The 13,954-nt window shown below is 57.8% G+C and overlaps 1 annotated feature.

Annotated features, from left to right (window-relative positions):
* Positions 2,487 to 3,686: an enhancer, noted in NCBI's record as "CDK7 strongly-dependent group 2 enhancer chr12:132920815-132922014 (GRCh37/hg19 assembly coordinates)". NCBI's record gives its function as "activates an origin of replication core promoter dependent on BRD2, BRD4, P300/CBP, MED14 and CDK7 cofactors, with strong dependence on CDK7, by STARR-seq in HCT116 cells {active_cell/tissue: HCT116}" and the evidence as "EXISTENCE:reporter gene assay evidence [ECO:0000049][PMID:35650434]".

Consider the following 13,954-nt stretch of genomic DNA (forward strand, 5'->3'; position numbering starts at 1 on the left):
GAAGACACACAGGCCCACAGTCCTGGCCACGCCCCGAGAAACCCGCTGCTTTCCCCTGGGGACTATTGACCGGCCGCCTCTGTGGCCAGGCATAGGCCAGGGAGTGCAGAGAGGCCCGTCCCCCACTGCAAGCCTGGGATGCAGCGACCTCACCGCAGAGCAGAAAGGCCTCACTGCAGTGGGCGCCCGGGGCCAGGATTTGGCTATGCCCGGGGCAGGTATGACAAAGGGGGCCACGTACACGGCGTTGTCTCTCGCTGTCCTGCTCCGTGCACCACTTTGGTCCAATCAAATCCCACGGGGTGGGGAATGGGAAAACACCAGAAATGATTTTCTTTGCATGTACAAAAGAGCCATGACTTTTGTTGCCCTAAAAATGAATTCATGGAACAAAGACAGTGCAGGAAGCAGGTGTCCTCTGATGCACCGGGCCACCCGCCTTCCCAAACCCAGCCTGCCTTCCCCTTCTCCGTGACCTCCCTCGCGGTGGAGGCTTGGAGGGAGCTGCTCACTGAGCCTACCTCTGCGCACACCCAGCTGCCACCTCACCTTCCCCTTCGCCCTGGCTCAATCCCAGGCCTCGGTTTGCAGATGCGGCTCCGTCCTCCCCTCCCAGCCCAGAGGATTCCAGCTGGGAAGGGCAGCGAGGCCGGCAGTGTCCCCTCAGGAGAGTCCTGCCCTCTGCAGGTGATTCCCTGGTGGCCACAGGAGTCACTGCATCCCTCCGTCCCTGCTCCACCCTCAGCCCCTTGAGAGGAGAGAGGCCTGGGGGTCACCGTCTCCCCTGCCCACCTGCTCTCAGCTCGGGTTCCTGCCTGTCCTTCCCAGTGGCTCCTCCGAGGAAGAGGTCTGTGGCCACCTCCCCCCTAGGCCCTGGGAACAGGAAGCTGAACTTGCTGTGAAATTATCTCCTGCCACTCAACTGCTTCCCCCTCAGCAAGGCCCCGCCCTCAGGAGAGAAAGCACAGGAGACGCTGGAGTGCTGTGAAGGAGACTGGGGTACGGGGACCCTGTGTGTGCACATGTATCTGTGTGTGTGCATGTGTGTGTACAAGTATGTGCACTGAGTGTGCACGTGTGTCTGTGTGCTCATGTATGCATGTATAAGTGTGTGCAAAGTGTGTGCATGTGTGTATGTGTCTGTGGGCGTGTGTATACACACATGTGCATATGTGAAAATGCACGTGTGCATTGTGAAGTGTGTGCATGGGTGTGCAAGTGTGTGAATGTATGTGTACACACGTGTGTGAGCTTGTATATACAAGTGCATGCATGTGTGTATAAGCACGTGTGCACATGTGCATGTGCAGATGTGTGCATAAGTGTGAGCATGTGTGTATACGTGTCTTTACGTGTATGCATGTGTGTACAAGTGCATGCATGTGTGTACAAGCATGTGTGCACGTGAATCTGCATGTTTACAAGTGTGTGCATGCAAAATGTGTGCGTGTGTGCATGTGTGCACATGTGTGTACAAGCGTGAGTGCAGATGCATCTGTGCACACATGCATGAGTACGTGCATGTGCACAAGCATGTTCGTGTCTGTGTGTGCATGTGTATGTGAGTGCTATGGTGAGTGTGCGTGTATGTGTGTATGTGTGAGTGTGTGTGTATCTTTTGCCCACCTCAGGAGGGTGGTGGGGAGCTGCTCCCTCTGGGGAAACCACATCTGAACTGGATGGTGAAATGCGAGACTGAGTTGTGTAAAAATTGGGTGAAGTGTTAGCAGGTCGCAAAAACCCCCAGGGCAGAGGCCTCACAAGGGATGGACAGAGAGAGGAACTTTGGAAACGTGAGTGCTCCCTCGTTTGCTGTTCTAAGCCCTTGCTGAGTACAGCTTTTCTGTGCCCAGGATCTGAGCTGAGCAGGGATGTTCTGCTCCATGCCATGCCAGTGCTGACGGGCAGCCACTGGAGAGAACAGGCCGCCCCTGGAAGGTGCTCCAACACGCATGATTTATGAGGCTCCCCGATGTGAGCTGGAACAGCTTGCTCCTTCACACTAAATAAAACCAAAAGCGGCACAGGAGTGCGGCGTCTGTGAGCGCCTCGTGCGTACAAATGACCATCATAAATCTTTCCGCTCTGCGACGCATCTTTGGGGAGTTTGGCTGAGAAGCCAGAGCTGGAGAGCGGGCGAGGAGGGAGAGGAAGCAGAGTCTGAATGTCCTGTGCATCCTCTGGGGTCCTCAGGGCGGGGCGGGGGGTGCTGTCCTGCAGGAGGCGGGACAGGATCTCTGTTCCTCTGCCCCTCCCCACTCCTGCTGTTCACAGCTACTGAACAGCACAAAGCAAGCCTGTCTGTGCGGACCACTGCTGCTGGCCAAGGCGTCCGGCTGAAAAAGTTCTTGGGAAGCCCAGTGAAGGTCCCTCTGTAACAACCTAGAAGGCCACTTCTTAGAACAAAGAAATCACCCTGGTGTTCGGGCCCGACGGGATTTTGTGTTAGGGTAGATTTTGTCAGCAGCAGCAGAGATCCAGCACAAACCAGCCTAAACAAAGGAGGAAAGAAGTTGATTTCTAGAACCAGGACTTGCGTAGTAAGTCCAGGGCCTCGGGCACAGCTGGATCCAGGAGTTAAATGAAGTCATCGTGATCCCTCCATGGGTGCATATGGCTGACTCTCCCCATTCTCGGTGGCCACGGTCTGCAGCGTCACCACCGCGCGGGCAGATGCTGAGCCTCTGGTCCTTAGGGAACAAGATCAGGTTCCTTTGAGCCTCTGGTCACCACATTTTCACCACCCATCAGTCTGTCACTTTGGTCTGTTTCTGCTTAAAGACACTGTATTTAGTGTATAGAGTTGATTCATTAACGTTGAACTCACGGCCAACAGCACCTACACAGGCCTGAGCGAAGCGTCTCCATCGCATGTCACAGCTCCTGCACTCAGGGTCACTCGAGAGGACCTCAGCTCTGTTCCTGAGGCTACTTTAAGCTGCAACATCACCGACAAAGAGCATGAAAATGTGAATGACAGGACTCTAAAAAGAACGCACGTTTACTCCGAGAGCGGAAACAAGAAGGCGGGTGCGGCCTCACTCCTTCCCGGCCAGGCACGCACGTGGGTGACGCGGCTTCCAGAAGCTCTGTGCACGCCTGTGAATGACCAGGAAAGACCCCGGTACTGATCTGGGGATTACGAATACGTTTTAGCAAGTAAGCGGATGTGTCTGCATCTCTGCACCCCCTTCCCCGCTCCCTCCCACCTCCCCTCCATCCTGCCGCCCCAGGGCTGACTTTATTCCCGGACAGGGCCCCCCAAGGGTTTCTACCAGCAGCTCCAGATTTGCCTCTTACCCCCTAGAGTTCCCCACCTGAAAAACCAAGGGCCTCTTCTCAGCAGCCCCAGGTACAGCCGCGGGCCCCTGGCAGGCATCTTGTTCCACCCCAAGAATAGGAAGTGTCTGGGCCTCATGGGCTGTGTAGGCCAGTGGACTGGAGGTGGAGAGGGAGAGGCCCACTGCTATCGGAGGGCGGCAGGCGACAACCCGGCCTTTACCCTCGGGGTCTCTTTGCAGGAGGTCAAAGCCCCCACACTCAGCGTCCGGAGCTCAGCACCTGCCTGCCCCAACCTGCCTGACCCTCCATCCCTGCGCCGTGAACGGTGACTCTGTCCCCGCTGTGCCTGGTGGCAAAGGTGACCCTTGACTTCCAATCTGTCAGCAAACACCGTGGGTTCCACCCCCAGGTTAAGTGCAGAATCTGCCCAATTCTGGCCACCTCTGCGGCCCAGCCTTGACCCCAGGCACCCTCGTCTCTCAGCCGGACGACGGCTGAGACAATGGCCGCAGCACCCACCGCCCTCCCCAGGTCTCAGTCGGTCCCAGACAAGGGCCGCAGCTCACCGCCCTCTCGCCTCTCCCGGGTCTCAGTCGGTCCCCGGCACAGCAGCTGCCGCCACACTGAGGTCACTACACTGCCCTCCGCTCCTGACCCTGCAGCGCCCCCTCCCCCCGAGTCAAAGGCTTAGTGTTCACAGAGGCCACGCAGCCTTCCCGCCCTCCAGGCAGCTCCCACCCAGAGCCCTCCCGCGCCAACCCCTCTGCCCGGCGCTCCTCCCTCCAAGGACGACTCCCCGTGTCCTTCTCCTGACCTGGCTGCTCACGGCCACGCAGCAGACACAGACACTGTACACCCTCAAGGACTCCCGGCCCATTCACATGCATGTCTGTGATGCTGTGGTCAGCGGTCGCTGGGACCCGCCAACGTGGGCTCCATGTGCTGAGGCCCCGTGGAGGTGACTGACAGGGCAGCGGGTGCCTCAGCCAAGCCGGGCCCTCTGGGACCATCATAGGTAAAGTCTTCCCATCTGCAAATGAGAACCCGGGGATGCTGACCCCGCACCGTCCCCCTGGGACTCTCCGGTGCTCTATGGGTGGGTGCACGACCCAGGTGGGGAAAATGGAAGAGAGCAGAGGTCGCCTGGGGGCAGGAGCCCAGGACACCCACCCCGCGACCACACTCAGAGCCGACTCAGCCCATGGACGGCTGCAGTTTCCTTGTGTGCAGCCCCCATGAGGAACCTGACTGCACGAGGCTCCTCCAGGGCTCCATGAGACTCCGTCTCAGGGGCCTTCACCTGCTCTCGGCTTTAAACGAACCACTGAGAATCACCTGTAACAACCTCACAAAGAAAATAAATCTCTGCACGGGCTTCAAGGCTCTGGGGCCAGGGCTGTGGGCTTTTCAAATCCTGCAGGCTGTGGCCTGGGCATTTGCCAACTGTCACTACTGCATAATTTAATCTAATTGATCAATTAAATCCAGATAATTTTTAAACAAGCTGTAATAACAGTTATATAATTTCAGTACCATGTATAATTATTCTAACTTTACTGAAGGAAATGGCTTTCTAAGACATGCCATCTGCATTCTGGAAACTGTCACCTCTGGAGCCGCAGGACTGGCAGGCAGCTGTCCTCTGAGCCGGCCGACTCTGGGAGGTCAGGGCCGCCCTCAGAGGAGGCTGTCGCTGTGGGTCTGAGTCCCGCAGCCCTTCTGAACCACCGTGTTGCGTGGCCTGTGGGGATGCTGTGGCGCCTTCTATGTCATCCGTAAGAATGCGAAACAACCGCCTGGATCTGTGGAATTAGGAATCCGTTTCTATTGCCACAGTTACACTGTGTGACAACCACACAAATCCTCAGAGAAGAGCAGGAAATATTCACTTTTGCTCACGAATCTGTGGGTTGGCTGTGGGTTCTGAGGACTTGCTTGGGCCTGTGAATCCGTGGCCGGCTCTGGGTCTCCCTGGACTTGGCCATGTTCACCCGTGAATCTGTGGGCCCTGTGGGTCCCCCTGGACTTGGCTGGGCTCACCCGTGAATCGGTGGCTGGCTGTGGGTTTGTTGGTGGCTCTGCTGCCCCTGCCTGGCTCTTCTGTGTCTGGGCGTCCATTGAGATGATCCCACTCTCTGCTGGTGGGCTGGCAGATCACCACAGATTTCCGAGGTGATCATGGGGTCAGAGAAGACACGAAGATACTCAAGTGCCGTTCCGAGCCCCGCGTGCACCCTGGTGGTCGCTGTTCCAGGCAGCAGAAGTCCATTTGGTCGCACCTGTGACCTGGGCACAGCCGTCCGCACCCCCAGCCTCCGCCTGGTACACCTTGGATTCCTTGCATTCTGATGCTGTGGTGGTGTCGGGGTGGCCCCTGGCTGCCCTTCAAGGTTGGGGGGGGACACTTACAGGCTTCTGTGTCCTGGACACCCACACTGGGGACACGCCTGAGCTCAGGTCTGGCTCCGTGACCTCAAGCAAGTTACCCCGCCTTCCCGTGCCTCAGCCCAACCTCGCTTCACCTGTCAAACACCAACAGCCACCTGACCCTGGCAGAGTCATGCAGGGAGCGTGCAGGGCGCTGACCCCATAGCAATGCCCACACAGCGTGAGCCCCACCCGAGCCCCGCTGCTGAGTTCATTTCATGACAGACACCTGGGAGAGCCATGAGTCCCCATCCCGACACAGAGGAGCCGGGGCCAGGGAGGCGGAGGCTGGAACTGGTCACCGGTGTTCAGTTCAGGGCCCGCCGCGGAGTCCACGTGCCAGGCGGCCTAACAAGCCTTGCTGGCCATGCGCCTCCACCTGCAAACACGTCCCCTCTTATGGCTCTGGAGGCCAGGGCCCACGCAGCTGCTTCATTCTGAGGTGGGAGCTGCAGTCCGTCTCCGCCTTTCTCCAGGGCGGCTGGTGTTCTCCACCTTTCCTGACTCTAGGTGTGTCTCCCGGTCTCTGGCTTCATCTCCCGTGGCCTCCTCCCTGTGTGCCTGTTTCTGTGCCTGTATCTCCCCTTTTCATCAGGGCACAGTCTGTGGGGTTCGGCCCATCCCACTCCAGTGTGGCCTCATCTTAACCCCTCACGGCTGCCACAGCCCCAGGTCCAACCAAGGTCACGCACACAGGTCCTGGGAGGTCGGGGCTCCCACAGTGAATGTGGGGAAATGCAAGTGAACCTGGGATAACCGGTGAAGAGCATGCAGCCTCGGACAAGTCCCTTCAGCTCTCTGGGCCGTCCCATCCTGTCTGTGTCTGCAAGGTGACCATGCTGTTCCACCCGGGCCACGAGAAGGACTGAAGAGGAAATGCGTGTTGAAGGCAAGGCACGGACCAGCCACGAGCAGCTCAGGCCGCACCAGCCACAGTTACAGCCACGAGCCACGAGCAGCTCAGCCACAGTTACCATCAGCCAGAGCAAGGAGGCCGCCCCGACCCAGAACCCAGTCTCCACCACCTCTTTCCCTCCATCTCTTTCTCTCTGATTTTCTCCTCTGTCCCAGAATCCTTTTCTGCCCCGGTGGCCAAGGTCCAGAGAAAAGGCCTTTCCTCCTGGTCAGAGCTCTGTCTCCTTCATCGGCCCTTTGAGGAGCTGGGAGGGGCCTCTCAGAGCCCCTCATGAGGAAATTCCCAAGGTTTCCTCTTAACTGCAGCAATAAAGTTTTTGTTAATTCTCCATAAGTGTAAATGTTCCCACAGGTTCCAATTACAGGCCTCCGCGGAAGTGAGTTTTCCCAAACACCATTCTAATTTGAATGTCAAACACGTTACACAACAGGGCTGCTACGGTTCCCATGGAGCCAGGCCCCGGGACAGCCCTGGGATCCCCCCTTCAGTCAGCCCCCACTTGCTTTCTCTAAGGAGGTACCCCTGGGACCCAGGACTCCCCAGGCCTCAGAAGTGGAGGGAAGACAGATTTGGAGGAACTTGGAGTCCCCTGGGGGATGGAGGCCTGGGAGGGACCCTGGCCCACCTTCCTGGAATGCAGCGGGCAGAGGGCAAGGGTCTTGCTCCCAAGGCCCTTGATTTCTGTCTCTTCTTCACTTCACCTGCACTCTAAAAAGAGGCTTTCAGTGTTTCCAGTGAATACGTCTTCTGTGGCACGCCAACACTGCTTTAAGTTTCTGAGTTATTGGCCAATATTTGCAAAGCAGAATATTTTGCAGGATTTCTGGTGTCTGTAGAAGTATTAGAAAATGTGGCTGCGTAGAGCTCCTGTTTCCTCACCACAGAAAGTGGTGGACCTCAGTAAGTGCTGCTGCTTTTAGAAGAATGCACAAAATCCAATTTCCCACAATTCCCATCCAGCCCGTATCAGCCATTTATTTTACATCCCTGGCTTGTGGACTTTCACTTTTGGAATCACTTTTACAGAGATCCCTGACCTCTCTTCAGATCTCCTGTTTCAGGACAAAGTTTTGCCATCATTACCATAATCTCCACCACTACCTACTCCACCACCAACACCACCATCACCATAATTATCATCATCATCATTATCATTATCACCATCACCATCACTATTATCACCATCATTATCACACCATTATCACCACCATCACCATCACCATCATCACATCACCATTATCACCATCACCATCACTATCATCACCATCACCATCATCATCACCATCACCACCACCATCATCACCATTATCATATCACCATTATCCTCATTGTCACCATCACCATCATCATCACCATCATCACCATCACCATTATCATCACCATCATCATCACCATCACTATCATCACCATCAGCATCACCATCAGCATCATCACCATCACCATCATCGTCACCATCATCACCATCACCATCATCACCATCACCATCACCATCATCAGTCACCATTATCACCATCACTGACACCATCACCATCATCACCATCACCATCATCATCATCACCATCACTATCATCACCATCATCATCACCATCATCATCACCATCATCACCATCACTATCACCATCATCACCATTGCCATCATCACCATCATCACCATCACTATCACCATCATCACCATCACCACCATCATCATCACTATCATCATGGTCTCCACCTCCATCACTACCAACTTCCCTGCTACTATCACCACCATCACTGCATATACACACAGAGACTCTGTCTCATCAGATTCTTTGGTACCTCTGACCCCTCTGGGAGCTCTCTCAATACATCCAGTCCACACAAGTTAGTAAAATTGGGTCAGAGCTGGGGGTGGGGGATTAGGCGGATTATGTTGAGAATGCCTTTCTGGCATAGTCCTGAAGAAGTTGGTGAAACTTGCTCGTGCTGTGCGGCTAGCTTTGGCTCCATGTCTAGCTGAGGAAGGATGCTCATGCCATGGTTCTCTGGCTGGCATGTCACTGTCCTCCAATTTTTCCCTCCTTGTGTAACTGTCCTCCAAAATGTCATTGAAAAGCTGCCCTTTTTTTTTCTTTTTGAGACAGAGTTTCGCTCTTGTTGCCCACGCCAGAGTGCAATGGTGCGATCTTGGCTCACCGCAACCTCTGCCTCCTGGGTTCAAGTGATTCTCCTGCCTCAGCCTCCCGAGTAGCTGGGATTACAGGCACGCATCACCACACCTGGCTAATTTTTTGTATTTTTAGTAGAGATGGGGTTTCTCCATGTTGGTCAGGCTGGTCTGAAACTCCTGACCTCAGGTGATCCACCCGCCTTGGCCTCCCAAAGTGCCAGGATTACAGGCATGAACCACTGTGCCTGGCCTTGCCCTCTCTTAATCTATTGGTTGGGATGAGGTTGACCCAACTCCCAGCTCCAGAAATGGCCCATGACTTGTCTGTCCTGTTAACATATTCCGAGCCCTCAGCCCAAGGATTGGGTCAGGGTTAGGCATGTGGCCCCAGCCAGGCCAATGAGACTCGATTCTTAGACTTTGTTTGTAGACGACCGACAACTGGTGCCTCTTTTCCGTGGGGTAGGCACGTCTGGTGGGATGTGGTGAGCAGCTGCTGGGATCATCTTTACCAGCAACGGGGAGCCTGGTTGGGACTGCAGGGCTTGGGGAGGGAAGCAGAGTGAGAGCTGGAGGCAGAGCCAGGGTCCCCGGGATGCCCTCTGCCTCTGTGCTCAGCTGCGCCTGAATCCAGCTGCATCACCTGAATCCAGCTGCGAACCTGAATCCAGCTGCGTCACCTCCCTTCGCTCTTTCTGCCACCTTGAGTTGGGTTCTGCTGCTTGTCATCAGCTGCATCAGCTCCCTTCACCCTTTTTGCCACCTTGGGTTGGGTTCTGCTTTTGTCATCAAAATAGCCTGGGCACACCCATGCCCTTCCCTGGCTGACCTGTCTGGAAATGCCCCAGCCCAGCCTGTCTCCTCTGGGGCTGAAAGGTCACTTTATGCTCTCAGCTTCCATTTCCCTCTCCAGGAAGCAGGGTGAGCACACTGTCCTCGGTGAGCACACAGGCAGCAGCTAGACACAGGCTGCTTGCCAACCGAGGTGCCTCCTTGGAATCACCAGAAAGTGGACCCTCGGGGGCTGGGCCCTGCACTTCCCCACCCACCCAGCCTGGCCTCGTCCCTTAGGTTGGATTCTTAGGCAACGGAATGGCCCCTGTCCCCCTATCTGTGTCCCCATCTCACCAGGCATCTGTCCTTTGAGATTCTGAGCTGAGCACAGCCGTGGCCCTCTGGGGACAGGAGGGATGGACACTAAGAGTTAAAGCTGGGAGAGCCTGGTGGCCTCTTTAGACATCCTGGCACAGCCCTAGAGGCCGGCATGAGGACCAAGGCCACGGGGCTACCCAGCCCCTGCCCCAGGAACTCATGAAGGACCCAAGGGCTCCTGGACCTCTGGCCTGGCTGAGCAAGTCCCTGGGCTCTGGGCCGGGCTCTGAGCTGAGATGCAGGGTTGGGTGCAGCAGGCCAGGTGCTCCCATCCCCGTTCCTGCAGCTCTGCAGGGAGCTCTGCCTAATCCCCCTCCCTCAGCCCAGGCTCACCCAGCTGTCAACTAACCATGGTCGCGACCCCCCAGGGACGGCTTTTCTTGTTGTTTCAAAAGTGCAGGCCTGGGATCCCCCTGTTGCCAGCGTGGGACTTCCCACAGGTATCAGGTTTTCTCATCTGCAAAATAGGCAGAAAAATCTGAAGGTGGTTCTTTCCCTCCAAGTCACAAGGAGGCCGAGGCGGAGCTCGGTGGGCTGAGCGAAGGCGATGTGAGTGGTGGTCGTGTCTGTGTCTCCTGTGCTCCAGACTTGGCACCACCGGTCACCCCCACACCCCCTGCACGGCCGCGGCTGCTGGTGTCCTGGACGCTGCACTGCTTTGCCAGAGGCCAGAGCCCCCCCTCATCCAGAACGCCCTCGTGGGGCATTCGCAGAGCTGCCACCGCCATAGACAAGCATGGAGACCCCTCTTGTGAGCCTGCAGCTCCCTGTGATGGGGCACATAGGTCACTATGGCAGAGGGCCCTGTGCTGACCTCCGAATAACCTAATTAAGGCTGATGACAGAAAGACACCGGGGGAAGGGCGGCCTCTATGAAAACCCCGGGAAGGGGCTGGCTGCAGCAGTGTGGAAGCGAAGGACCACGGCAGAGACTCAGGCCGAAGAGCTTGGCTCATGCTCCTAAAAAGAAAACAGAAAAAAAAAGCGGGGCATGGTGGCGCACACCTGTGGCCCCAGCTACTTGGGAAGAGGCTGAGGTGGGAGGATGGCTTGAGCCCGGGAGGTCGAGGCTGCTGGGAGCCGTGATGGCACTGGTGAACAGCCACTGCCCTCCAGCCCGGGCATACAGCCAGGCATGGGGCTTTGCTTTCACGGAATAACAGCCCCGTGTTCTGGTCACACAGGACCTTGCAGCTGCCACAAGCTGCAAGCTGTGTTGCGTTTCTGCAACTCTGGGCAAGTAGGGAGCAATGGAATCTTGGTGCCTTCTCTGGGTTTCCGGGAATTCATCTAGGGGCTGGGCCTTCCCATGGAATGCGCACGTGCTCCCCAGCTGCAAGCCCTCCCTCTTCTCGGAACCCCACGGACCATGCGCCTTCCACTCAGATGAACATCCACTGCACACAGTGGCGTCCCAGGCCGGGCGTGACTCAGTGGACACAGGGCCTCCACCTCAAGGAACCTGGCCTGCCAGGGGGCCCCAAACCCCGACACCCCCCGAGGCGACGGTGGCTCAGGAGGCTCTGAGGGAGGCCCCTGTCCCACCCTTGTCCCGGGTTTGTTCTCGTGTTTATTTTTTCTCCACATCTCTGTTTGCATCCTTCTGCTTTTCTCCTGCATTTGGAAAAGAGGCGCCCGGTATCCACACCAACCACAGCTCTGAGCTCGCCCGTGCGGGCAACGCAGGAGGCCTCAACAGGGCACCCACTGCCCAGCTGGCCGTGAGTGACGCCTGCACAGCTCAGGAAGGCAGAGACTATGGCAGGTGTATAGGTGAAGCCGGCACTAAAAGACGGACAGCCCTACAGAGACCGCCAATCCCCAGAAGCAGCCGAGGCAACCGCGTCCACCCCCTGCCGGGGGCCCTTCCTGCACAGCTCGGGGATCCCAGCCCTCGGCTGCCACTCCCGACCCAGAGCCCAGGCCCAGCCTCTGCCCCAACCCCGCCAAGCCTGTGTGCACGCCTGCCAGGCCCCTCCCCCACCGTCCCTTCCTTCGAGGCCCTGAGCGCTCGCTCACTGCAGGCTTCTGGCAGGAGATGCTGCAAGTGGCGGGGATGGGCAGGCACCACATTTCCCCCACCCTGGAAGAAACCGCTTCTCAGTGGACGGGCTCAAACCCCCTCCTCCTGCCACCATCCCCTCACTGAAGGTCCCAGTGCTTTTTGGAAGGAGGGAAGAGTCGGGGGCAGAAAAGGAGTCAATCAGTGAATGCACACCTGCAAGAAGGCATGACGGGCTGGGCGCTGGGGGCTGGCGCAGACCCACCTGTGTTGTTCTGATTAATCTCCTCCACAGCTCAACATCATCTGGAGAGACAGGAAGGATTACAGAAAATTGGCTTTTCTGTCTGGCTTCCCCCAAGGGAGGCGGTCATGGGCAGGGTCCGTGGCCCCGTTCCACCAGCAGTGATTACAGCAGTAATCCCGAATTTTGATCAGGAAGTGGCCCTGGCCCTGAAATGACTTTTTGCTAAGCCTCCCTCCCGTGTCCGGGGCAGCTGCACGCATGGCACCTCGCCGTTGCACTGAGACGTGATTGGTCCATTAGCACGGGGGTAGGAACGGCTTCCCCTGTGTCTGCCTCAAATGTCTCGTGAAGAGTGTGGCGGGACTTTCCTGGCACCGCCACTGCCTCCGTCAGTCCACAGAGAGTTGCGGGGGTCAGAATATGGCGTGACAAGGGCTGGGCAGGGGTGGTCGGGGCCCAGCTGTCTCCAGGTTGCAGAGGGGCAGACGGTGTCCCGCGAGGAGGCTTCCAGCTCCGCCATCAGCACAGCAGTGAACACGAAGCCAGCAGTGAAGGAATGGCCAGGCAGCCGGGAGGCCTTGCCTCTGCAGTTCCACGTGGGTGTGCAGCGGGACTGTATTCCCACGGGGCTGGGCCCTGACAGGCGTGGGCGTCCCTGAAGGCCTGGCGCTCCAGAATTCTTTCCACCTGTCTTCACGCCCTGCTCCCAGCCTCTGGCTGAGTGACGAGGATTCAGAGGGTCAGAAGGGGACACACGACAGAGGAGGAGGCTGGTCACTCAGAGACCCCTGGGCCACCAGGGACCGCGCCCTGCCCCCGCCGACCAGCCACGTGGCTGTGCTGGATGACGACGTGGCCTCTTGATGCCGAGGGCGAACATTTTGTATGAAGTTGCTGAGATTAGCAGCGGCGTCCGCCCCAGCAGCTAGCGTTTCCCCCACGTGCCGGCGATGTCGTCCTCCGACTCAATACTTGGCAGCTTGCTCAGGGCTTTTTGTAGCAAGTAACAGGAAACTCAGCTCTCGGGGCTGGAGCAGAGCCCGTGGGATTCACAGCCCCTGAGTGCAGGTGCAGGGTGGTGAGATGGCGGCACAGCTTGCTCAAGGCCCCAGAGCCTGGGGAGCCTGGTCTCTGGTCTCTCCCTCCTTCCGCAGAGGCCCCTCTGGCGGGTGCCTCGTCCGCCAGGCCCACCTGCATGGGGTGGAAGGGTGCACCTGGCGGAGACCCGTGGGGCCGTCCCTTCCCCGGCCGGAGCTCGCAGGGAGGCCCTGGCACCATGGGCTCTGGTGTGCCCAGGGGACAGGAGCTCTTACTGTCCAGGCCAAGGCACACAGACCCTTCAGCTCAGCCAGCGTCATATGAGGGAGGCAGCGGTGTCTCCAAGCCAAGGTGGGGTCTCTCACTGGAGAACAATGGGGGGATCTTGGCTGGTTCCCTGAACATGGGGTGCCAGAGCCAGGGATGCGGGTACCGTGGAGAACTGAGCTTCTGCAGCTGCTGCGACCTTGCCCAGCCCTCGCACCCTCTTCCTTAGGGACCCCACCCTTTGGGAAAACACCCACCCCTGCTCCACCGCACGCCGGGGGGCAGCCTCCACGTGGAATCAGCACGCCTGCGGACCAGCCAGCCGGCCAGGACAGGGAATGAGGCGATACTCCAGTGACAGATCCCATGAGCACGGGGACCACAGAGCTGCCGGCCTTTCCCGCCTGGGGAGGGAAAAGCTCGTAGGACCCGGCGCTGGGGAGCTCGTGGACCCCTTCGAGTCTGGAGCTGGGCCACGGGCTCCTGCCCTTGATT

The sequence above is a fragment of the Homo sapiens genome, chromosome 12 (genome assembly GCF_000001405.40).
Source record: "Homo sapiens chromosome 12, GRCh38.p14 Primary Assembly".
Lineage (NCBI taxonomy): Eukaryota > Metazoa > Chordata > Mammalia > Primates > Hominidae > Homo > Homo sapiens.